The sequence below is a fragment of the Homo sapiens genome, chromosome 8 (assembly GCF_000001405.40).
Source record: "Homo sapiens chromosome 8, GRCh38.p14 Primary Assembly".
Taxonomy (NCBI): domain Eukaryota; kingdom Metazoa; phylum Chordata; class Mammalia; order Primates; family Hominidae; genus Homo; species Homo sapiens.
The window spans coordinates 66,595,245-66,618,734 of NC_000008.11; the positions used below are offsets into that span (position 1 = coordinate 66,595,245).

The 23,490-nt window shown below is 38.1% G+C and overlaps 1 protein-coding gene and 1 long non-coding RNA gene across 11 annotated transcripts in view, besides 4 other annotated features; one reads left to right on the forward strand and one right to left on the reverse strand.

Annotated features, from left to right (window-relative positions):
- The window catches only part of MYBL1 (MYB proto-oncogene like 1), a 51,044-nt gene extending 33,070 nt beyond the window's left edge, over window positions 1-17,974 (reverse strand). For 5 of the 10 annotated variants that reach the window (NM_001294282.2, NM_001144755.3, NM_001080416.4 and 2 more), the window contains exons 1-6: window positions 17,575-17,974; window positions 7,174-7,279; window positions 6,454-6,525; window positions 3,806-3,898; window positions 2,086-2,306; window positions 339-513 (exon numbers count right to left, since the gene is read on the reverse strand). In NM_001294282.2, the coding sequence (NP_001281211.1) occupies window positions 339-513; window positions 2,086-2,306; window positions 3,806-3,898; window positions 6,454-6,525; window positions 7,174-7,279; window positions 17,575-17,594 (687 nt within the window). In that variant the 5' untranslated portion in view covers window positions 17,595-17,974. Of the gene's footprint in view, window positions 1-338; window positions 514-2,085; window positions 2,307-3,805; window positions 3,899-6,453; window positions 6,526-7,173; window positions 7,280-17,269; window positions 17,550-17,574 lie in introns of those variants that run through there. The other 5 variants (XM_017013456.2, XM_017013457.2, XM_017013455.2 and 2 more) reach the window with 4 other exon arrangements.
- Window positions 17,741-18,260: a silencer, noted in NCBI's record as "silent region_19254". NCBI's record gives its function as "represses an Ori minimal core promoter by ATAC-STARR-seq in GM12878 lymphoblastoid cells {active_cell/tissue: GM12878}" and the evidence as "EXISTENCE:reporter gene assay evidence [ECO:0000049][PMID:35858748]".
- LOC105375884 (uncharacterized) lies at window positions 18,305-20,614 on the forward strand. The gene is made up of 2 exons (XR_929015.3): window positions 18,305-18,408; window positions 18,801-20,614. It is a non-coding gene; the product is annotated as an uncharacterized LOC105375884 (long non-coding RNA).
- Window positions 18,491-18,630: an enhancer, noted in NCBI's record as "active region_27483". NCBI's record gives its function as "activates an Ori minimal core promoter by ATAC-STARR-seq in GM12878 lymphoblastoid cells {active_cell/tissue: GM12878}" and the evidence as "EXISTENCE:reporter gene assay evidence [ECO:0000049][PMID:35858748]".
- Window positions 18,681-18,760: an enhancer, noted in NCBI's record as "active region_27484". NCBI's record gives its function as "activates an Ori minimal core promoter by ATAC-STARR-seq in GM12878 lymphoblastoid cells {active_cell/tissue: GM12878}" and the evidence as "EXISTENCE:reporter gene assay evidence [ECO:0000049][PMID:35858748]".
- Window positions 18,771-18,820: an enhancer, noted in NCBI's record as "active region_27485". NCBI's record gives its function as "activates an Ori minimal core promoter by ATAC-STARR-seq in GM12878 lymphoblastoid cells {active_cell/tissue: GM12878}" and the evidence as "EXISTENCE:reporter gene assay evidence [ECO:0000049][PMID:35858748]".
- Window positions 20,615-23,490: the final 2,876 nt, after the last annotated feature.

A 23,490-nucleotide genomic window follows, 5' to 3' on the forward strand; every position in this document is an offset into this window, starting at 1 on the left:
GATAAGCAATACTATAATTACGCCAAAATTGTTTAAATGGAAAGTACAATAGAATGTTAAAGCACAGATGACCATTAGCTTTGAATCATAAATGAAGATTCAAAGAATCAGAGTATTAGGAAATGTACATAGTTTCTTGATGTAAAAATTACATATAAAAGGAAACATTTTAATAAATTTGTTCTCAAAATATTTATAAATCAAAGTTACACATTTTTTTCAGTTTGTCTATTTACCCCTTAATACGCATTGTATTTGTCCTATTAAGAAACCAAACATCTTCCCATATAGCAACTTAAGAAAATTTTTTAAATAATAAAGGTATTAAAAGTATGTGCCTGAACAGGTATGTAAAACTGATTCTGGGTTTGCATATGATCCATAGCTGCACAAGGTTTGTGTTGAAGTTTAGATGAAGATCGTTCTGATTTTATTCCATCTTGTAAATAGCCCTCCTGTTCCACTTTTCTTCGCATAGTAGAATTCCAATGATTTTTGATAGAATTATCAGTCCTAAGAAAGGAAAGGTATGATTTAAAAAGAAAAAAGGATTCCACAGATTTCAACACTGTGTTAACTTGTACAAAGTGCTTAAAACAAATTTTTACACTGATGAAATTAGATACTTTTTTCTTAATTTTTCTTTTGGAGTTTCTACTCAGGAAGATAGGTATTTTTTAAAAATTCAAAAGATAAACTGTATGTGCATATGTCAGGCATAGTTCTAAGCACCAGAAATATTGCAGTGAGTAAGGCAAAGTAGGTCACTGCTCTCGTGGAGCTTACACTCTCCTTGGAAGTGTGGGAGTGGGAAGGAAGGAAGAATAGAAAAACAAATAAATGAATAAAAAATTCACTACAATGCAAATAAAGTAGGATAAGAAAAGTGGGTAACGGAGTAATTTTGGTTTGGTTAGAACAAACCAGCTATACGAGAACAGAAAGAAAAAAAGAGCATTCCAGATAAAGAGTATAGCAAGGGCCAAGGTCTTAAGCCAGGAACAAACATGATCATGAAAAGCAAATCACAAACTAAAGAATCCCAGTATTCTTTTTCACTTCTTAGAACAAAATATTTATGGTAAGAAAGAGTTAATTGGCTCCCTTCTTATCTAAGGTTCCCTTTATAAAAATGAAAATCTTCAACCTATGGTTACTTGCAAATTTCATCCCTCATAAAATATACACACATAAAGCAGGTTTTCAGTAAATGTTAAGGCACTAAGCTAGGTTCTATGAAAAGTAAGAAGACGTATAAGAGATTAAAAGCATCTAGACCTGGTTTAATAACTTGAATAAAAAATTTAACACTATGCCTTAATATCTTATCTATAAAACAAAGATAGCAATGTTTGCTCAGTATACTTTCCAAGTCTATAAAAATTAAGAATACATGAAAAAGCACTTAATGCTATAAAGTACTATACAGATAGAGATTACAGCAACAAAAGACAAATGCGTATCTTCTAAGTTATGAATTTTCACAAGGTTGTTGGTCTGCTGTACTAAACGCTATTAGAAAACATATGAACCAGTACAATGTAGAGTGTACTTAGCACATCACTGCCTCTGAGGAAAATTTGGTATTTTAGCCACATGAATATATATACTACTTCCATGGTTTGGATCATACCATAATTAATTAAGATTGAATTTTCCCCAACACACTTTCATAGCAGTTTACTGTAGCTAGCATATCATTCCCTGGTCTTACACATAGAACGCAATATGAAAGAAATCTTAGATTTAGATTCTTTTCCAACAGAGTTTATACAAAGGGGGTCTCACTTGATTGACACTGATATGTCAACATGATTTTAGGAGTGTATTAAATGTTTATATAATCTAAAATCTATCATTTTATTGTACAAATTATTGCCATAAAATAATTCATTAAAAAAGTAATCATACCCTTTACCACAGAATTTAGTACAAATGGTCCCAAAGGTTGCTTATGTTATATAGTCTACATTTTAATTACAAATTTAAAAAATAAGTCATCGGGGACTTGCAAATGTATTTAACAGTAAGGTAATAAAGGTCATGTTTAAGTACAGAAAAATATATATACATTTATATAAGCACCTTCCTGGAAGTAGTTTGGCAATTTCTGCCCAACGATTTCCCAACCGCTTATGTGCTTCATAGATGATCCTGTCCTCCTCTTCTGTCCAGGAAGATTTCTTTACCTCAGGATTCAGATGATTATGCCATCTTTCTCTACACTGCTTGCCTATTCTTCCTTTTAAATGTTTTGCAATTAAAGACCATCTTTTTGGCCCATATTTCTGAACTAATTCAATAACCTAGGAAACAGAAAAACAAAGTTTAAAAAAGCATTACCTTCAAAGAATTTTAAAACATAATTCAAGAATACCATTTTAAATAAATGCATTAAATCCAAGCCACAACTACAATTTGTTAAAAAAAAATTACCAATAAATACCCCTTTAGCATTTGCCAGCTTCAAAAATTGATGCCAAACTCATCTAAAAATCCAAGGGGCTAATTAAAGACTCTTGAAATTCAATTGCTTTCACACCCTATTAATTTGAAATAACTGTAAACATGCTGAAACTTGTACATTTTCTACTCCTACATCTAAAAAAAAAAAAAAAAAAAAAAAAAACGCTTCAGCCAAAAGCAAAAAACAAAAATACAATTAGGAAGCAGAAAGATTCTACCAAGTTATTGGTTGTCATTTCTTCCTTTCTCAAACTGAAAGGACACAGATTACATATTCTTTTTTCCACATTTTACAGTTGTTTTTATTTCACCTAAAATTGCAAGAATAGTTATTCCAGCCCACTTTACCTCACTGCCCTATGTCAAATATCATCTCATAAACATTTTATATTGGTAGACTAAGTTTAATATATGTTGATATTTTCACTATATGTGTCTATTTACTATCTTTAAAACTAAAATTTCAGGCTTTGGTAAATGCATTTTTAAACAAGATCACACATTTTAAAACTTAGGAGTAGCCATCAAGTAAATCAGTGCAGTCTAGGTGAAGTAACTTTAAAGTTTGTTCTGGCTGGGCATGATGGCTCAGCCTCTAATCCCAGCATTTTGAGTGGCCAAGATGGGCAGATTGCTTGAGCCCAGGAGTTCAAGACCAGCCTGGGCAACATAGCGAGATTCCATCTCTACTTATTTAAAAAATTTAAAAAATAAGAACAACAAATAAAGTTTGTTTTGAGCAGGAGTAAGGATGCTCTAATTCCTCAACTGCATTAGCAACCTTTATGACTTAAAGGGCATTAACTAAAGAGTGCAGAAACACTTCTATTCATCTCCAACTTCATAGTACAAACAATGACCTTGGTTTTTAAATCACAAAACCTTTGGAAACATGATGCTCTGACATCTGTCTAATCCTGGGACTCATTATAGGTTAAGAGAAAAAGTTAAGAATGACTTCCGTGCATATCAAGTTATTAGATGTAAAAATAAAATGAAAATCTGTTTTAAAATGTTAATTAGATTTTTGACAAAAAACTATACCCTAATAGTTGTGAAACTGAGCTCAAAACAAGGTAACTAACCTTACAGCAAGTATTTTTCCTTCTGCAAACCAAACTCTCAGAAAGAAAGGGCTGTATGTTATACTTGGTTTGACTCAATTTTCTAAAAACCCAACAACATTTCCAGACACTTAACATTCAATTCTTATGCAAGTAGCCTCCGGAGAACAAAATCAAAGTGACTTAAACATGTACTTCATATGTCAAAACAACACATTAAAAAGAAAAAAGCTAGTCTACCTACATAGTGAATATAAAGAATATGAACACATTACCCTCTGATCTTCTTCTTTAGTCCAAGGACCCTTTATCAATTCAGGATTTAAAACTTTCTGCCATCGATGCTGGCACTGAAAATCAGAGCGATTCTGAAAAAATTTAGAAGATTTTGTTATTAAACAACTGTCTTCCAGAAAGCAAGTCAGCCCGAATTTATGTCTCACATCCTTAGAACAAAGACTTCAAGAATAGTGTATTCAATAGCATTCTTTAAACATGTAACATTTATGTTACATATCTCTGCCCCAATTATGTTTTTTCTTAATTATAGTAGTCAACAGGGCTTAGACTACAAATAAAAACAATTTATTTAAAACTAAAGTGTGTATCTTTACACTACACCTTATAATACAGAAGCAGCAAAGATAAAACACAGATAACTGAAATAAAGAAATGGATTTAACACTGAGGAATAAAAAGCAGTGGACAGAAAACTACACAAAGCTGACATAAGAACTCAAATAGTGCCAGGCGCAGTGGCTCATGCCTGTAATCCCAACACTTTCGGAGGCCGAGGTGGGTGGATCACCTGAGGTCTGGAGTTCGAGACCAGCCTGACCAACATGGAGAAACCCCGTCTCTACTAAAAATACAAAATTAGCCGGATGTGGTGGTGCATGCCTGTAATCCCAGCTACTCATAAGGCTGAGGCAGAAGAATTGCTTGAACCCAGGAGGTGGAGGTTGCGGTGAGCCGAGATTGCACCATTGCATTCCAACCTAGGCAACAAGAGCGAAACTCTCATCTCAAAAAAAAAAAAGAAAAAGAACTCAAATAGCCTATCAGTCTGGATTCACGTAGTTCAGCAGTACCTAACTATACAGTTTTAAAGAAATGTAAAGGCATTGCTATACTACTGCATAGGATCAAAAGGATGTTATAAATTATGATTCCAAGTTATTAAGAAAACATTACATAGTCTACATAGAAGATGAATGTTACATTTCAATTAAATTGGTTAAGTGTTGACACTTAAAAAGAAAATGAATTCACTAAATTGGTTAAGTGTTGACACTTAAAAAGAAAATGAATTCACCAGAATAAGAAATCCTACGCAGTATCTGGGTAGAAACATCTCAAACTCCAAAAATAATAAATGAAGCCTTATTTTAGTCAGTCCAGAACCTGGTAACTCCTATACATTACAAGGATAATGACACCTAACACTTTATTAGTGATTCACAGTTTACAAAATTGTTAGTTCATAAGCAAGATTACAGAAAATCTAGAGACATATAAAGGGACAGATAAAAATGTTTTGTCTACCAATGGCTCTTTTGCCCAATGTACTTAAAATTATTTTTATTCAAACTCAGCTTCATTTATGGCTTCTGTACACCAACGCTAATCCATTTTAAGGCTGACACTTTCTTCAAAATAATCAGGTTGCTCCTGTATGTCCTTGTAGCATTTCTGTTAATGCTAATGTAAATAACTTTTCTAACCTAGCTTCCATTTATTGAACACCTGCTAAATATTAAGAATTGTGCCAAACATCCTATATGTTATTTCTAGTTCTACACAACCATACTACAGAAACAAGTATGATTATCTAGACATTATAGATAAGGAAGGTGACAATCAAAGAGGCTAAGTAATTTTTCCACGCTCATGGAGCTGACATTTGAACATAATTCAAACTGACTCCAAAATTTATGCTCTTTCCATTACTTGATCTCAATTTTTGGGTTATGTTGAAAGTCATATGACAATATAGAAAAAACATAGTTAACATGGTTTCTGAAACCCAAAGTAGTCAATATTTAAATTCAAATATGTATATTTTCCCTCACTACTCACAGTGTATTAAGGATACAAATAAGAGCATATGTGAGGACCAGGCGCGGTAACTCACGCCTGTAATCCCAGCACTCTGGGAGGCCGAGGCAGTTAGATCACCTGAGGTCGGGAGTTTGAGACCAGCCTGACCAACATGGAGAAACCCCGTCTCTACTAAAAAAAAAATACAAAAAGTTAGACGGATGTGGTGGTTCATGCCTGTAATCCCAGCTACTCGGGAGGCTGAGGCAGGAGAATCGCTTGAATCTGGGAGGCGGAGGTTGCAGTGAGCCGAGATCGTGCCATTGCCCTCCAGACTGGGCAACAAGAGCGAAACTCCGTCTCAAAAAAAAAAAAAAAAAAAAAAAAAAAGAGTACATGTGAAAATACTTCATAAATTATAAAGTTATATAACGAACAGCAGGTGAATAGTAGTATGGTAAACAATAGGCATAATAGTTTTTAAAATCAACATTTTAAAAGGTAAGCCTCAGATGATAAGCTTTTTTTAATAGGGCTTTTCTGGATTTTTTGGTTAGCTATCAAATATCTCAATATATTTCTCACAGAATGTTTTAACGTGTATTAGCAAATATTTATAAGGTCCCACATACATTTATTATCATTTTTGTTTTAAGTTAATAATCTTTTTAGGCCCCTGGATAAACGCATTACTAGAAAACCAGACTCTAAACCAGACTCTCCAAGCCATTAGCAACCAACTAGAGGCAGACCAAACCAACAGGGATGTTTTTAGGAAGGAAACCTAAAATTAAAATATGTAGACACATTTTTGAAAAATAGCAAATTTAACCCAATGCCTTAAACCAGCCATGTTAGAAATATAATTTAATATTTCACTTACTTGAAGATGACTAGCAATTAGAGTCCAATCATCAGTTCCATGTTGTTCAACCAACTTCTTTAATTTATCATCCTATTAAAACAGTACAAAAATTAGAAAGCTTTCCCCCCGTCCTTTTCCTCTACCCCTAAATATAGATAACTCTCCAATTCTATTAAGGAATATCTGGTAACCATAGAATAACTAAAGCCACCCACTATAATACAAATTCTTCCATTTATTATACTGTTTCTCTAAGTTCCAATGTCATCAGTTATTCATGTCTCTGGTTGAAGAAAAAGAACGTACAGTTAATTTGATGCATATCTTTTCTCATATTTTGTTTTTAAATATCTTTCATAACTATAGCAGCATTTTTTTTTTGTTTTTGAGATGGAGTCTCGCTCTGTCACCCAGGCTGGAGTGCAGTGGTGCAATCTCGGCTCACTGCAACCCTCTGCCTCCCAGGTTCAAGTGATCCTCCTGCCTCAGCCTCCCAAGTAGGATTAGGATTACAGACATGCGCCACCATACCAGGCTAATTTTTGTATTTTAGTAGAGACGGGGTTTCATCATGTTGGCCAGGCTGGTCTTGAACTCCTAACCTCAAGTGATCCGCCCATCTCGGCCTCCCAAAGGGCTGGGATTACAGGCGTGAGCCACCACACCTGGCCGTATAACTATAGCAGTATTAACCAATAAATACATGTAAGAAACTATGAAACCTTGTCAGATAATTACCTCGTCCCTTGTCCATTTTACTCTGTTCCAGAGTTTCTTCAGTCCTTTTTGTTGTGGTACTTCATAATCATGATCGGCATACTGAAGGTCATCATCCTCATCCTCACTACAAAAAAAACACAATTTGTGATATCAAGAATTTTATTTAAATTTGTAAATTCAAACACTGAACTTGTGTGTGCAGGTATGACTGAAGAAATCATACAGACTACAAGTCATATTCACAATGAAATTATTCAAAGTACAAAAAATTAAGAGTCAGACAGCGGGGTGGGGTGGAGCTATATATATATATATATATATATATATATATATATTTTTTTTTTTTTTTTTTTTTTTTTTTTCTGAGACGGAGTCTCGCTCTGTCGCCCAGGCTGGAGTGCAGTGGCATGATCTCGGCTCACTGCAAGCTCCGCCTCCCAGGTTCACGCCATTCTCCTGCCTCAGCCTCTCGAGTAGCTGGGACTACGGGCGCCCACCACTACGCCCAGCTAATTTTTTGTATTTTTAGTAGAGGCAGGGTTTCACCGTGTTAACCAGGATGGTCTCGATCTCCTGACCTTGTGATCTGCCCGACTCGGCCTCCCAATGTGCTGGGATTACAGGCGTGAGCCACTGCACCTGGCCTGGAACTATACTTCTTACTGACACCAAACACATGAGGTTGGATATGCCACTACGGGAAAAATCATAACCTTGTACGTCATGTTAAGGAATTTGACCTTTATTCTTTATTTGACCTTTATTCTAAAGAGTTAAATAATTTTAACACAGCAAAAGACAAAAGACAGATATCTTGTGTTTTAGAAAAATCAGTGACAAGAGTGTGGTGAAACTGAAAAAGAAAAACCAATTAGTAATCTTCACAACAACCCAAGCAAGAAATTATTGGGGCCTGACAAATGGTAATGGTAAAATATAAACCGCAGCCAATTAAAAGACACAATAGAAGTGATCCAATTAACAATACCAACAATAAAAAAAATTTAACATACAAGATAAAGGTACAGTAAGTGACAAGACACTGTTGTGAGACACAGATGTCTTGAACAAATGGAAGAACATTCTGACTTTTTTTTTTTTTTCCAGACAGGGTCTCAGCTTGCTCTGTCACCCAGGCTGGAGTGCAGTGGCACAATCACAGCTCACTGTAGCCTCAAACTCCCAGGCTCAGGCAATCCTCCCACCTCAGTCTCCCGAGTAGCTGGGACTACAGGCATGCACCATCATGCCCAGCTAATTTTTTCTATTTTTTGTAGAGATGGGGTTTTGCTATGTTGCTCCACCCGCAATGCTGGTCTTGAACTCCTGAGCTCAAGTGATCCTCCTGCCTCAGCCTCCCAAATCCCACGCTTGAGATTACAGGCATGCATCACCATGCCCAGCCTCCTGACCATATTATTGGATAAGAAAACAATATTATAGATATGTCCATTCTCTAATTTAGGGAGATGTCCATTCTCCCTAATTCATAAATTAAATTAAATGAATAAAAATACCAATAGACTTTGGGAGGCAACTAGACAAGCTGAATCTACAATTCATATGAAAAAAAAAAATCAAGAAGAATGGCAAGAAAAGTTTTAAAAAAGAATAATCAGAGAATTACCACTACCCAATATCAAAATACACTGTAGAGAAATAAAACAGAATGGTACTACCACACGAACACACACATAGATAAATGGAACAGAACATTTAGAAAAGAAAAAAGACCCACATGGAATTTGGTAAATTATAACAGTAACATTTCAAATCAGTGGAGTAAAGGTAGACTTTTCAATAAATGGTGTTAAGACACTGGGTAGCCATTTTTTAAAATTAAGATGGGCTGGGCGTGGACACCTGTAATCCCAGCACTTTGGGAGGCTGAGTCGAGCAGATCATTTGAGGTCAGGAGTTCGAGACCAGCCTGACCAACATGGCAAAACCCTGTCTCTACTAAAATTGCAAAAATTATCTGGGTGTGGTGGTATGTGCCTGTAATCCCAGCTACTTGGGAGGCTGAAGCAGGAGAATCGCTTGTACCCAGTGAGCCAAGACTGCACCACTGCACTCCAGCCTGGGCAACCAAGAGAACCTCCATTTCAAAATTAAAAAAAAAAAAAGATGGTGTCCTACTTTACAATAAAATAAACTGGAGTGAAGCAATTATTTACATTTTTTACATGAAACCATAATAGTACTATAAGAAAACAGAAAAGAAGTCTACTTTTCATATCCTTGAGTAAAAGACAGGTAAATGTGACAAAAATCTGGAAGTGATAAAATAGATCAACCAAGGTAATGATATTAGGAATTGAAAGAAATATATTAAACTGAGAGATATTTAAAAAGTAGAAAAGAAAGGATTTTGCAACTGATAGATGAGGGACATGGAAGAAGGAGGAATTAAGGATGACTCCAAAGTTTCTGGCTTTGAAAACATAAGTAGAGCTATTTACTATGGAAAATGATAGAAGGAGAAACAGAACTTTGGGAGAGAGAAGAAAATGGGGAGAGTATGTATAGTTTGGGACTAGCTGTTTTCAAGGTACTTGAAAAATACACAGGTGGATGTCTGGAACAGCACTTCCCAACAGAGACATAATACAAGCCACATATGTAATTTTCTAGTAGCCACATTTTTTAAAAAAAGAGAAATAAGTGAAATGTACTTCAATAGTCAATATTCCTTAGCTTAATATATCAAAAATATAATCATTTCAACATGTAATCAACATAAAAAAGTATAAATGAAATGTTTTACATATTTTTTTCTTACTAAAGTCTTCAAAATCTGGTGTGTGTTTTGTAGTTAGAGTTCATTACAATTCAGACTAGCCACAGTTCAAGAGCTCAATAGCCACATGTGGCTAATGGCTATCCTACAGGGCAGAGCAAATCTAGAAGGCAAATGAGCATGTGGACCTGCTCAAATACAAGGTCTAGGGTAGAGATGCAGTTTTGGCCAGCATACAAAGAATAGCTGAGGGCACAGGATGACCCAAGGAAAATTAATAAAGTGAGGAAGGGGCCAAAGTCAGAACCTGAGTTTTGATGGAGTAAAAAAAGAAAAAGCAATTTTAAAGAATAAAGCCCCATAAAAAAGGGCAAGCCTTAATGATAAACTGAAATACAAGGCCAGGCGCAGTGGCTCCCACCTGTAATCCCAGCACTTTGGGAGGCTGAGGCAGGCGGATCACCTGAAGTCAGGAGTTCAAGACCAGCCTGGCCAACATGGTGAAACCCCTACTAAAAATACAAAAATTAGCGGAGCATGATGGTGGGTGCCTGTAATGCCAGCTACTCGGGAGGCTGAGGCAGGAGAATCACTTGAACCCGGGAGGTAGAGGTTACAGTGAGCCGAGATTGCACCATTGCACTCCAGCCCAGGTGACAGAGCAAGACTCCGTCTCAATAAATAAATAAGTAAACTGAATTAGAGGATTCTGAGTAGGCAGTGGACTGAATAAAGTCATGGCATCTGAAAATAACACAGTCTACCATTTATTTAAAACTTTCTAAGTAGTCTATTAAATTTTTCTCTTAAAGCCTCACAACTGGAAGAGGGGAATATTATCATTATTCCCATTTCACGGAATAGGAAACTTTGACTCAGAAATGTAACCTCTTGCCCACAGTCACTACTTAACCGCTATACTACGACATACTGGAAAAATAGGGGGAAAGTGCTAGGAAGCTGGAAGATACTAAAGACAAACCTCAAGTTCATTTTGGAATCAGAACAAGGTTCTGGTTCTAACTTAATTACTCACTCTGTAACCTTGAACATGTTAACCTCTCAGGGGTTTAGTTTACTTGTTTGTAAAATGATAATAATACCACCTACCTTATAGTGCTGCTTTAAGGATAAAATTAAATGAGAAAACATATATAACACCTCATACAGCACATGGCACAGAAAGGTGCCTCAATATTAGTATTACGTGCATAGGCTGATCACCTAATAGTATTCAAAATTATTTTTGCCTTACTAGATTCAACTCTTTCTCAAAAATTCATTCTGATTTCACAGAGCAAAATTTGAAGATTTGTTTAACCTTACTCTAATATAGTTAAGCGCATGCAAGTAGTTTCTAATATCTATGTAAGTTATGTAATTTTAATCTTACAAAATTGAAAAATGAAGGCCCAGATTTAATATATACTGTCTATAGATCCTTTGTAGGAACGTCTAACTTCCATTGACTTGTCAATTCCATTGGAACAAAATTCTTCATATTTGACCAGGCAAAACACCAAGATTCTCCCATTCCCCTATGATCTGCTTCTACAGTTCAACACACTTCAATAGTCCAGTGTTCGCTCTCCCTGAAGCCATTGTCTATTTGTAACAATAATCCACCAGTTCTCCTTCCATACATGGCTGTTTTTTTTTTTTCTTTTTTGAGATGGAGTCTTGCTCTGTTGCCCAGGCTGGAGTGCAGTGGCGCAATCTCGGCTCACTGCAACCTCCACCTCCCTGGTTCAAGCAATTCTCCTTCCTCAGCCTCCCAGGTAGAAGGAATTACAGGCGTCTGCCATCATGCCTGGCTAATTTTTGAATTTTTTTCGTAGAGACGGGGTTTCAGCATGTTAGCCAGGCTGGTCTCGAACTCCTGACCTCAGGTGATCCGCCAACCTTGGCCTCCCAAAATGCTGGGATTACAGGTTTGAGCAACCACGCCTGGCCCATATATGGTTGTTTTATTAAACTGTGTTAAAACAACAAAAAAAAAAAAAAAAAAAAACTCTACAGGCTTGATTAAATATCTGATACATGCAGCCATTTTCAGCTATCAGAAATATCACCTGATAGGCCAATATTAAATTGTTAAGTTCGACATGCTTCAGGGTCCAATGACTTCATAAATTTCTAAGAAAGCTACCGAATCAGATAAAACACCACACTGCAGCTTTCTGTCCTATTTGTATGTACTAAGAGCACCTACCTTTCTTCTTTTTAATGTTTATCACATTTGCCAACCTCCACATCCAAAAAGTAAGCTCATGAGTGCAGACCATGTCTACCACGTTCACCTCTCAGGACTAACTAAGCACAGTACCTGCCACTCAAATATTTGTAAAACTAATGAACAATCTTCCCTAATCTTCCAGCTTCACCAAGAGCTCTATATTCCAAAATTATCTCACTCCTTTCCAACCCAACCAAAACTTCCACCTTCTTCAATACATGTGATCTCAAAGTGGATCTGAGAAAGAAAACTTTTTAACAAATGAAAATACCTCTAGGAAGAGGTAAAAGCATTCTTATTTGTTAAAGAAGACTTTCAAAACCCAAAAAAAAAAAAAAACACCTCCAAGTGGTAGAATTTTAAGAAGCAGAACCTGCTGAAACAAACATTTTAAATATTCAATACAGAAAAGGTTATTTGAAGGTATCTACTGTACTGTTTAACCTTTCTTAGAAATGCCACCAGCAACATTACCACTTCCTGACACCCCAAATAGCCCTCAGGCATGCTTTTCACAGGGTCTCTTTCTTTTCCTCCCTCTCTTCAGATCCTCAAAGTTTCCATAACAGTATATTTGAGACTGCTTTAAAATACAGGTTATTTCTAAGTCAAAATAATTTTTACCTTGGGAATTTGCCCATATAAATCTTGAGTATTCACAAATCTACATCACATTTAATCATACGAAACCCACTTTAAGGTTCTTACAAAATATTTTAAGGATATGAGTACAAAAACATTATTTTGGTCAAAAAGCTGAGTTTTCAAAGAGTAATTTTCCTAAAAACTAGTTCATTTTAACTGTAAAATTTTGCCCCTTACTTTTTACCCACATACTTTATTGTGAGAAATTTCTATTTCTACATGAGGTTTCATTCTCTATTTTGCATTTCAGCATGGTCATCAGTTTCAGACACTGAGTTATATAGCCCATTCAATGTTCAGTAAGCTGGGCTTTTTGAATGGGTAAGTGTGAAGAAGCAAGTAGAATTCTTAGAATTATCTACCACTCTGACTTTCCTAGAGTCTACCTACTTCTTAGTTATAGCATCAAGTTATCTCTACATATATATGAGTATTGAAAAGACAATGTTAACTTTCCAATACATGAGACCAAAAAAAAGATCCTAGATATCTATCAACATCACTAGCTACAAAGAAAGATGCCTGAGAATGTGTATAATTTGCAAAGAAAACAGGGAAAGGATAAAACCCCACAAATCACTGCACCAATATCCCACTTTCACCATTTAACAGTGAAAAAGTCCCATCACTGAAAAATGGTTAGATATCATCAAAATGGATCTGCTCTATTTGTCTACTTTTACATAATCTTTTGACATTTCTGTATTATAACAATCAATGCTGGTAATATGTAATAATTTAATAAAATTGGCTTCCTACTATGTAGTTAAATAAACCATTCCTAGCCTAGTGTAATTATCTAGAAGACAGCAAAATAAAGTGACATTATTTCTCTAGTCACAAAGCAATAATAGATTAATTTGGTCTTTGGCTCTCCAGCCCAGGACTCGGTTTCCAGAATGATTCTGCCAGTTTACCTAAGTCAAAGAAAATATTTATGTGATAAATGTCTAATACATAACCAAACTACTATATTCAAATGGAAACAGTTTCATAGACTGTGAATTAAAGTGATTAGGGTGATTATAAAACAGTCAAAGGAAGCACACAAAAAAATTGTAGAACTCATTAGGCCAGGAAAATAGTTTAAGAGTAACTTTACATTGGTGTACAAGCTAACAGGACATGATAGTCATGACTTTGTCCGTGAAATAACACGCACTTGATGAAATAATTCACATGTGATGTTAAGATAAAACATTTAGAAGTTCAATTTTAGAGGATAACAATTATATCACTTAAACCAGTAAATGAGGTATTCCAAGGAGGAAACTGAAATTTTTTTAAATTTTTTATTCTAAAAGAAAGAGAAATACCGGTTCTATAAATTTGCTCTAGTAAAATCGCATCAAGTTGATAATATTTTTAATCACAAATTAACTCAAGTCCGAAATCTTTATCACAGACAAAAAAAAAATCTTTATTATACAATCTTGAGGACAAGTCCAATCATATTCAAGGTATGAAAATTTACCAGGTTGATTTAATAAAGTGAAATTAGGCCACCCAGTGGTTAATATATGTACTGCATACATGAATATTTTATTTCCAAATCTGGACTGTGCAAACTAGCAGTATTATAGTAAGACAAACTTTACAAAACCTTTGATCATTATTAACAGCAATATTGAGGAGAGTTCTACCTAGTAATTCCATAAACAAAAACATTGTGAGAAAATTTCTATTTCATTAGTATGTATATACTTTTAAATAAGATTACAAAATGTCTTCAAATATATACATTAAAGCTAGAAACTACCTTACAGACCATAAAATCCAAACTCTATATATTAACCAGATGAAAAACTGAGGCAGAGTTTACCTGCTTCCCCAAACAATATTGCCAGTTAATGACAAAACCGATTAAAAGATCAGTTCTCATATTTCAGTATAATTTCACTCCCACCCATTTTGCTGGAAACAACACAGTAAAATTGGTTCCTATACACACACATATACATAACACTGCAAAAAACATCTTCTATTTCAAGAGCTGGCTTTTATCTTTTCAGGTTAGTGTAGTCATAGGTCATCTCAAGTGTAAATAATCTGTTACTAGTAAACAGGTTTCTAAATGACATTTTTTAAAGCTTACTTTAAAGGGTAAAACTGACTTTCGAATCTAAAATTAATTACGTATATATAAATATGCTTAAAAGTTAAATATATGTTAGTAACAGATATATTAATTTTAGTATTGCCTGTAAATTGTCATCGCAATTCCCAGTGGGATGTAAAATTATTTAAAGTCACAATACAAATGAGTCTTCCTTTATGTAAATCTAGAGGACAGATACTACGGCTATCTTAAAGATCAAAACAGCTAACATCCTGCAGTTGTTCACACTTGAGGTAACACTTAGTTTTCTACTCTTAGGTTTTTTTGGGTTTTTTTTTTTCAGTTCACATAGGAAACATATATTACAGGATTTACGCCTATGCTCTTAGGCAAAACTTTTATACAGCAAAGTATAGTTTTCACTTGAACGCTTAAGTGGTTGTATACTGGAGATCTCAAATTACAACTTGAAGTAACTGAATTATTTCTTTTCCCTTTCAACTATAAATTGAGTTCAAATATATTAAGATACTTAGGTAAAAGGCAAGAGAGATTTTTCCCAATGACATTATTTTTGCTTCAAAACAATTCACACTCTATCCTCTTTTGTTTTTTGTTGAAGCACAAAAGCAGAGCATCTACTATCTTCTAAGATATGTAAATCATATTTACGTGGGCAAGAAATGTAATTCAGAGTATGAAACACATTTAAGTATGAAGACTTAAGAGATACATCATTCAGAGATGATAATTTCTCCCCACATCCTCTATCTGTATACTCCCAGGGAGAGTATAGCTTCACCCCACCACATTTAATTACTCCAGATTTACGACCCTTTAAATCATTCTATCATGTTTAAATTAACTTACACAACTGTCAAGGGATAAATGTCAAAAGTACAATATTTAGATTTCAAGCTCACAGTATTCTCAATAAAACAACTTATATATGCAAACTAACATTAAGTTGTTTCTCCTTTCTTTGTCCATTATTATGAAACATACACTTCACACATATGAAATGGACAGAAAACCCATGGGGAGGGGAAGGTTCTGACATTTAAACATTCGTGTCTAGCCATAATTTTAATTTAACTAAATGCTGATGACAGAATTAGCCAAGAAACTGTTTCAAATAAGATTAACATCAATACTGATAAGTAGATAATATCACACATTAATAAACTTGTTATTGAGTTAACATATTCAATTGTCATCTTATTTTTAAATTTTTTTATATTTAAAAATTCAAAAAGCCTAAACCAGTACTTCGGCAATCATAATTACAAGAGCTTTAAATATCTATCTTTTCTGAAGATTGATGTTAATTGGGTCCTTGAAGTTCTAGAAGGGTGGTTCTTTCCTGGGTGATTTTGTCCCCCAAAAGATATTTGGCAATGTCTGGAGACATTTTTACTGTCATGACTGAGGGAAGTGGAGTGTTACTATCTCTACTGGGTAGAAGCCAGCGATGCTGCTAAACATCTCCCCATTACAAAGAATTATCTGGTCCAAGATGTCAATAGTGCAAAGGCTGAAAACAGTTTTAGAGGGGTCTGTGTACACATTTATTTCATCTCAAGAGTTTGTCCTATAACTTACTTCAAAACTAATAAGCTTACAGAGACTTAAGGATTTCTGCAGAAGCATCCTGCACACAGCAGATGCTTAACAGAAAACTAAGGAAAAAACAATTATGTATAGTTACTGCCAATTTTTAGCAGAACTCTGCAATGAATGACCCCCATTACTAAATTTCAACTTAGGAAATACATCTCTAGTTAAGATTTTGGGGCTGTGGATCTAGATAAATAAATATTTGGAAATCCTGCCAAACATCTTTTCAGGTTTATTTGATAATGCTGAAAATCGGAAGACATCCTATATTTTTGTTATCTAAGCAATTACTCCACATAATTTATGAGTAGCTGCTGTAATGGCATGTAAACGAAAATTAGATGCATAAATTCATCCTAGCACATTTTCCAGGCAAAGGTGGAAAAAAGTGCCTTACCTCTGTGGAACACTTAGGTACGGTCAGAGCCAAACACAGACACTCAAAATATTAAGTGAATCAAACACATTGTTTTATTTCAAGATCAAGCTACTAGTTGTTACTACTAGTTGTTACTATGTGACATGGTCCCAAGAGAGGATATTAAAATATACATATATACATAAAGCTGAGCATATGGGTATAGGAATTACAGAAAACATCAAAAAAGTCCTCTCAGCTATTCCCCAGAGGATTTTCCACAACGTTTCAAGATAGCCAAGTTGGCAGAGGGGTGGCCGCCCAGGTTCACCGCGGAGTTCCTATTTTGACTGTACCGTCATTCAGAAAAGAGTCGCCCGAACACCATTTTCAAGTCCTCCCGGCAGGACACAGTCAGTTTTCTCTGCGTAGCGGACTCCCTAAAAGCGCTCGACTTACCTGGCAAGAAACCTGCCTCGAAGAAGTGGCAGCATGAGGTCAGAAATCTGGACGCGCATTACGGGGAGAGTCACCGAGAAACCTGGGCATCTCTTACGTCCCGCGCCTCAAACACCCTGGTCCCCAACTCTCCACACGTCGCAGCTGCCCTCCGGTCATCGAGGCCAAGCGGCCGCGGGGACGCGGGAAGAAAAACCTCTGCCCTCGCCAGGGAGGGCCTTATGGCGGGAGGGGGCAGCGGGATAGGAAAGAGAATCTGAGCCGAGACGGCGCCGACAGGCCTGGGCGAAAGGGGTGCCACCCACCTGCGCGACCTCTTCGCCATCCTTCAAGTACCGCATAGGAGCAGGCTGGGCGGGGACGCGGGTCAGCCTCCTCCAGCCTCCGGCGAATGCTCCTTCTCCCCGATCCTCTAGCCGCTTCCCTCGCTCCCTCTGGAGGCGGCCGAGTGCGGAACGCACGTCCTCGACAGGGCAGGACGGAGGGACAGCGGGGGCGGACCGCGACCCGACCCCGACCCCGGCCCGCAGCGCCGCTCTTAGCCCCGGCCCGGCCCGGCCAGGGATACCCCCAACATGTCAGGAGGCGCGATCCCGCCCTCCGCCGGCTTCTCCCGCCGCTTGTCAGCCTCCCTGCCCTGGCCCCAGCCCGGCTCCGCCACAGGCGCCCGACCCCTGCCCTCTCCCCCGCAGCTAGCAGTTCTGCAGGGCTCGCAGTCTCCTGCAGGGTTTTGTCCGCACCGCCGAATCTCGCGCCCAGCCTCCCTCAAGAGCCGCCGTTTGAATCTGCGCACGCGGCCCTGAACCTCATTGGCTGTGGGGGCCGCACGCGAAGAAGCGAGGGCGGGGAGGGGAGAGCGCGCGCGGCTGAGGGCGGGGCTGGGGAGCTGGAAGCTGGGACTGGAACTCGCGGGAGTCGGGGAAGGAGCCGGGAGCCAGGGGGTGGGGCCGCGGGTGGGGCCGTAGGTGGCGCATGCGAGCCGAGCTGTCATAGGACCCGGAACGCGCCGAGAGGCGCACCGCGCGGGGCCTGCTGGGAGAGCGAGTTCCTGCGCTCGCCGAGGAGTGGGTCCGGAAGCGGCGCCGGAGCGGGTCCGGAAGCGGGCGGTGGAGAAGTCCAGTTGCCCCAAAATTCTTAGGGTGAGCGAACCGAGTTTCTGGCGGGGTGGGTGGTCCCGCGGCCCACCAAGGGAACGTCTCCGCAGCCTCGCCTCGGCGACAGCTCCTGGCTCCTTAGGTGTCTTCCGCCTCACTAGTTAGGATGCGCGGTCTTCAGACTTGAGACAAATCTAACCATAAATTTGCGCGGCCGTTATTTTTTAAGCAAAAATGTGAGCTATTTTTACCCAGACATCATAGTTACGAGAGTGACGAAGACTCTGGCAGGAAACCAAATATCACCTGTTTTCCTCAAAAAGCAGCAGAAGAGTGACAAGTGAAAAAAGTTCCTAGCGGGAGACGTGCTTGGAACCGGAGATAATCTGTGTCTACCGCTGGTCTTCAAGGTGCTTAATTTCGTGCCCGCTCTACAGGAAATAACGTGCGCGGCGGAGGAGCCCTGTCCTGGAGAATAACGCGTGAAGAAGACAGTGGACTGGGCATTTCGTCCAGATGAATGAGCATGGTAGTTAAGTGTAGAAGGTGACCTTCTTCCCTCTGGAGAGACCAGGGAGGGGGGAACCACCGGAGGAGTTTCTAGCGGTTGCAGCTACTTGAGGTTCCAGTCTAATAACTACGAACTGTTCATTTCAAGTAGCATTAAAGTAGATTTGCTACAGTAACAATTACACTTGGCTAAGGAAAATTTGCAAGGCAACATGGTCTATTGCATAGAGCACTGAGCCACATGTTAACACTGTAACAAACACTTGCTATTTTGAAATTTTACGCTTCATCTTTTGCAAATCAGATGCAGGTGCAGAGTGAATTAAGAGGAGCTGAATTAAGAGAGAAGCTTGCATGCACTGCTGTCAAAACCTAAACACACTGGCTTTTTTTTTTTTAACAGTTCCTTTTTTCAAGGTATAGATTCTGGGAAGGTAAGGGAAGATAAAACAGCTTTTCTTTTTCTCTCCTGTTTTTTTTTTTGTTGTTTTTTTTTTGAGACTAGGTCTCACTCTATTCCCCATGCTGGAGTGCAGTGGCACAATCATAGCTTACAGTAGCCTCGAACAGCGATCCTCTTGCCTCAGCCTCCAAAGTAGCTGGGACTACAGGCGCGCGCCACAACACCTGGCCAAGCGTTTCTTCCAGATCATTCCTTACTGGGTTGCTGGTTCAGTAAAAATAAAAAAATAAAAAATAATTTAGAAATGAGTTCCCAAATTTCATTATGTTCCCAATGTCATTTGGAATCACTGTTTCACTGTTTTCTTATTTACCCCTGGGTCGTACATTACTTCACTTATTTATATCTAACAGGAAGCAGAGCTTCTGCTATATTTTAGGCTGTATTCAGTTTTATACAGAATACCTTTTTTAGAGCTTGAAGACAAATGTTTTAGATTTTGACAGTAAAACAAATTTCCCTCATTTTTACATATAGAGAAAAGCAATTCCCAGAAAGATAACATTGTGAAATTACTGAAATCAGTTATAAAACTCAGGGCAAAGTGTGGAATTAAAGTGGTTCACAGTCATTTGAATACACATACTCAGATGTATTCTAAACTAAGATGAGTTTTTTTTTAAGCAAACGTTTAGAGATTTTATTCAGAGTATATAAAGAACTCTCAAAACTCAGTGAGAAAAAAAGCATTTAAAAAATGGGCAAAAGATTTAAACAGATTTCACCAAACGAGATATATATATACATACACACACACACACACACACACACACACACACACACACACGACAGGCATATTAAATGATGTTCCACCTCATTAGTCATTAGAGAAATGCAAATTAAACCACAATGAGATACTAGACTACACTTCTGTTAGAATGAGCGGGGAAAATGACTGACTATACAAATGTTGGTGAAGATGAAAATGCTGAGCAAGTACAACTTGCATACATTGCTGTTAGGCATGCAGAATTCAGCCATTTTGCAAAACATTTATAGTGGCTTTGTTTTGTTTGTTTTTTAATTTTTGTGGGTACATAGTAGGTGTATATATTTGTGGGGTACATGAGATGTTTTGATACAGGCATGCAATGTGAAATAATCACATCATGGAGATGGGGTATCCATCCCCTTGAGTATTTATCCTTTGTGTTACTTTTAGTTATTATAAATTTTAGTTATTTTAAAATCTACAATCAAGTTATTGACTCTAGTCAACTTGTGCTGTCAAATAGTAGGTCTTTTTTTTTTTTTTTTTTTTTTTTTTTAGACAGTCACTCTGTCACCCAGGCTGGAGTGCATTGGCGCGATCACCACTCACTGCAACCTCCACCTCCCATGTTCAAGCAATTCTTGTGCCTCAGCCTCCCAAGCAGCTGGGATTACAGGCATGTGTCACCATGCCCGGCTAATTTTTGTGGTTTTTGTTTTTTGAGACAGAGTCTCACTCTGTCACCCAGGCTGGAGTCCAGTGGCATGATCTTGGCTCACTGCAACCTCTACCTCCCGGGTTCAAGAAATTATCCTGCCACCCCAGGCTAATTTTTTGTATTTTTAGTAGAGATGGGGTCTCACCATGTTGACCAGCCTGGTCTGGAACTCCTGACCTCAGGTGATCCTCCCGCCTCGGCCTCCCGAAGTGCTGGGATTACAGGCATGAGCCACCATGCCTGGCCTAATTTTTGTATTTTTAGTAGAGACGGGGTTTTGCCCTGTTGGCCAGGCTGGTCTCAAGCTCCTGACCTCAGGTGATCCGTCCATCTCAGCCTCCCAAAGTGCTGGGATTACAGGCATGAGTCACTGACCCTGGCCTTTTCGTAACGTTTTTAGAGATGGGGTCTAGCTGTGTAGCCCAGGCTGGATTGCAGTGGTGTGATGATAGCTCACTGTAACCTTGAACTCCTGGGCTCAAGCAGTCCTGCTGCTTCACCGTCCTCAAGTGCTGGGATTATAGGCATGAGCCATCTATGCCTAACTAGGGCCATTCTTTAGAGATGCTGGTGTGGTTACTAAAACAATCTTCCTTGGGCTTCTTGCACTCCTATATACATCTTGCTGGGTGTGCCTAGATTGCAAGGCCCTGAGTACTCTTTTACACAGGCCATTTCTAAGGGTTATTTGCAGCTAGTTGCCTTGAGAGATGAGGTAACATCTCAGTCCAAGACAAAAACTAGGTTTACTTACTGCTTACTATAAAAGCAGTGGATTCCCAAGTTGAGTGTTTCTCAACTGTAGCACAAATCCACTCTATGCATGACATCCATCTGGTACCATTACATTGCCCCATGGGACCTGAAAGCAAGAATAACTGGCACAAATATGTTGATGCTCAAGGTGTTTGCTGTGCTGTAAGTAATACCAACACTTTGTCCCCAACCTTAGAGTCTTGTGTCTTCTGGTAAAAGGATCCATGAGCCAGTAACAGTTTAACTTAGCTTATAAGTAGGGTAAAATCAAATCCCAGACCTGACAGCTAGAGTGTCATGAATGAAGGGGCACTCACAACCCCTGTCACTCTCCTTATTATATATTAATCTTCATGAAGTAAATTTTTATTTTTCCAATTCAAATTTTTATTTTAGAATTCCTAAATTCTTCAGCCCAATTTTTACTGGATAAAGTGTACGTCTTGGGATTGAAAATAACCATCGGACAGGTGCGGTGGCTCACGCCTATAATCCCAGCACTTTGGGAGGCTGAGGCAGATGGATCACCTGAGGTCAGGAGATCGAGACCATCCTGGCCAACATGGTGAAACCCTGTCTCTACTAAAAATAAAAAAATTAGCTGGGCGTGGTGGCGTGTGCCTGTAGTCCCAGCTACTCAGGAGGCTGAGGCAGGAGAATAGCTTGAGCCTGGGAGGCAGAAGTTGCAGTGAGCCAAGATTGCACCACTGTACTCCAGCCTGGGCGGCAGAATGAGACTCCATCTCGAAAAAAAGAAAGTAACCATTGTCAGATACAACAAGAAAAAAAGAAAGAGAGATAAGGAAAGAGGGAAGGAGGAAGGGAGGAAGGGATCAGCACCCTTCTCTCACAGCTATAGTTGTGTTGGATGTGAAGCTCCAGAGACATAGAAAGCATTCATAGCTAATGGTGACCCCTTTCTGCTTTGTGAATGGCTGGCTTTTTCTTATTTGGTAAAAGGATAAATCTTTGAAAATGACAATCTCAACATTCTGATTTTTAGTTTTAGAAAAACCTACTTTTAAGAGCTGCAATACTGGACTCAAATACTGAAAAGCTAGTGATACTCTGCTGTTCCTCTTTAGTGAATTACTGATAAATATCACAGTAAACAAATTAGTGCAAAGTTGGTTCACTTGTACATATTCATGTAAATTACCATAAGAGGGAGGTAGTGGTATAATATAAAATTTCTGCACAGAGCACATAGCACCTGGTGCTATAATAAAGATTGAGAATCCCTATTCTTATAAAAGAAATGCTTATTAATCTTATTTATATCTTATTAATATTATTTAATTCAATTTAACGAACAGTTCTTGAACACCTACTCATGCTACACATTAGTACTACAGAGATTAATTTTGCTCTCAAAAGCAGTCTCAAGTATAGCACCTTAATCTGTTACCAGGAAAGTCAAGCATTCTATCTTCTAAATTACTCTTATTTTTCAACTAAGTTAATTTTTTTAGGTAGAACTAGCTAAAAGAAAGTAACTTAAAGTAATAGCAAAGTCAGATTTGAACATAGATCTCTAAATTGAGAGAACCAACTTAAAAAAATTTAATATATGAAAATGTACTTTAAAATCATGTACATACACATAAAGGACATACTCATTATTATTATTATTATTATTATTATTATTTTTTTTTTTTTTTTTTTTTTTTTTTTTTTTGAGACGGAGTCTCGCTCTGTCGCCCAGGCTGGAGTGCAGTGGCGCGATCTCGGCTCACTGCAAGCTCCGCCTCCCGGGTTCACGCCATTCTCCTGCCTCAGCCTCCCGAGTAGCTGGGACTACAGGCGCCCGCTACCACGCCCGGCTAATTTTTTGTATTTTTAGTAGAGACGGGGTTTCACCGTGTTAGCCAGGATGGTCTCGATCTCCTGACCTCGTGATCCGCCCGCCTCGGCCTCCCAAAGTGCTGGGATTACAGGCGTGAGCCACCGCGCCCGGCCACTCATTAT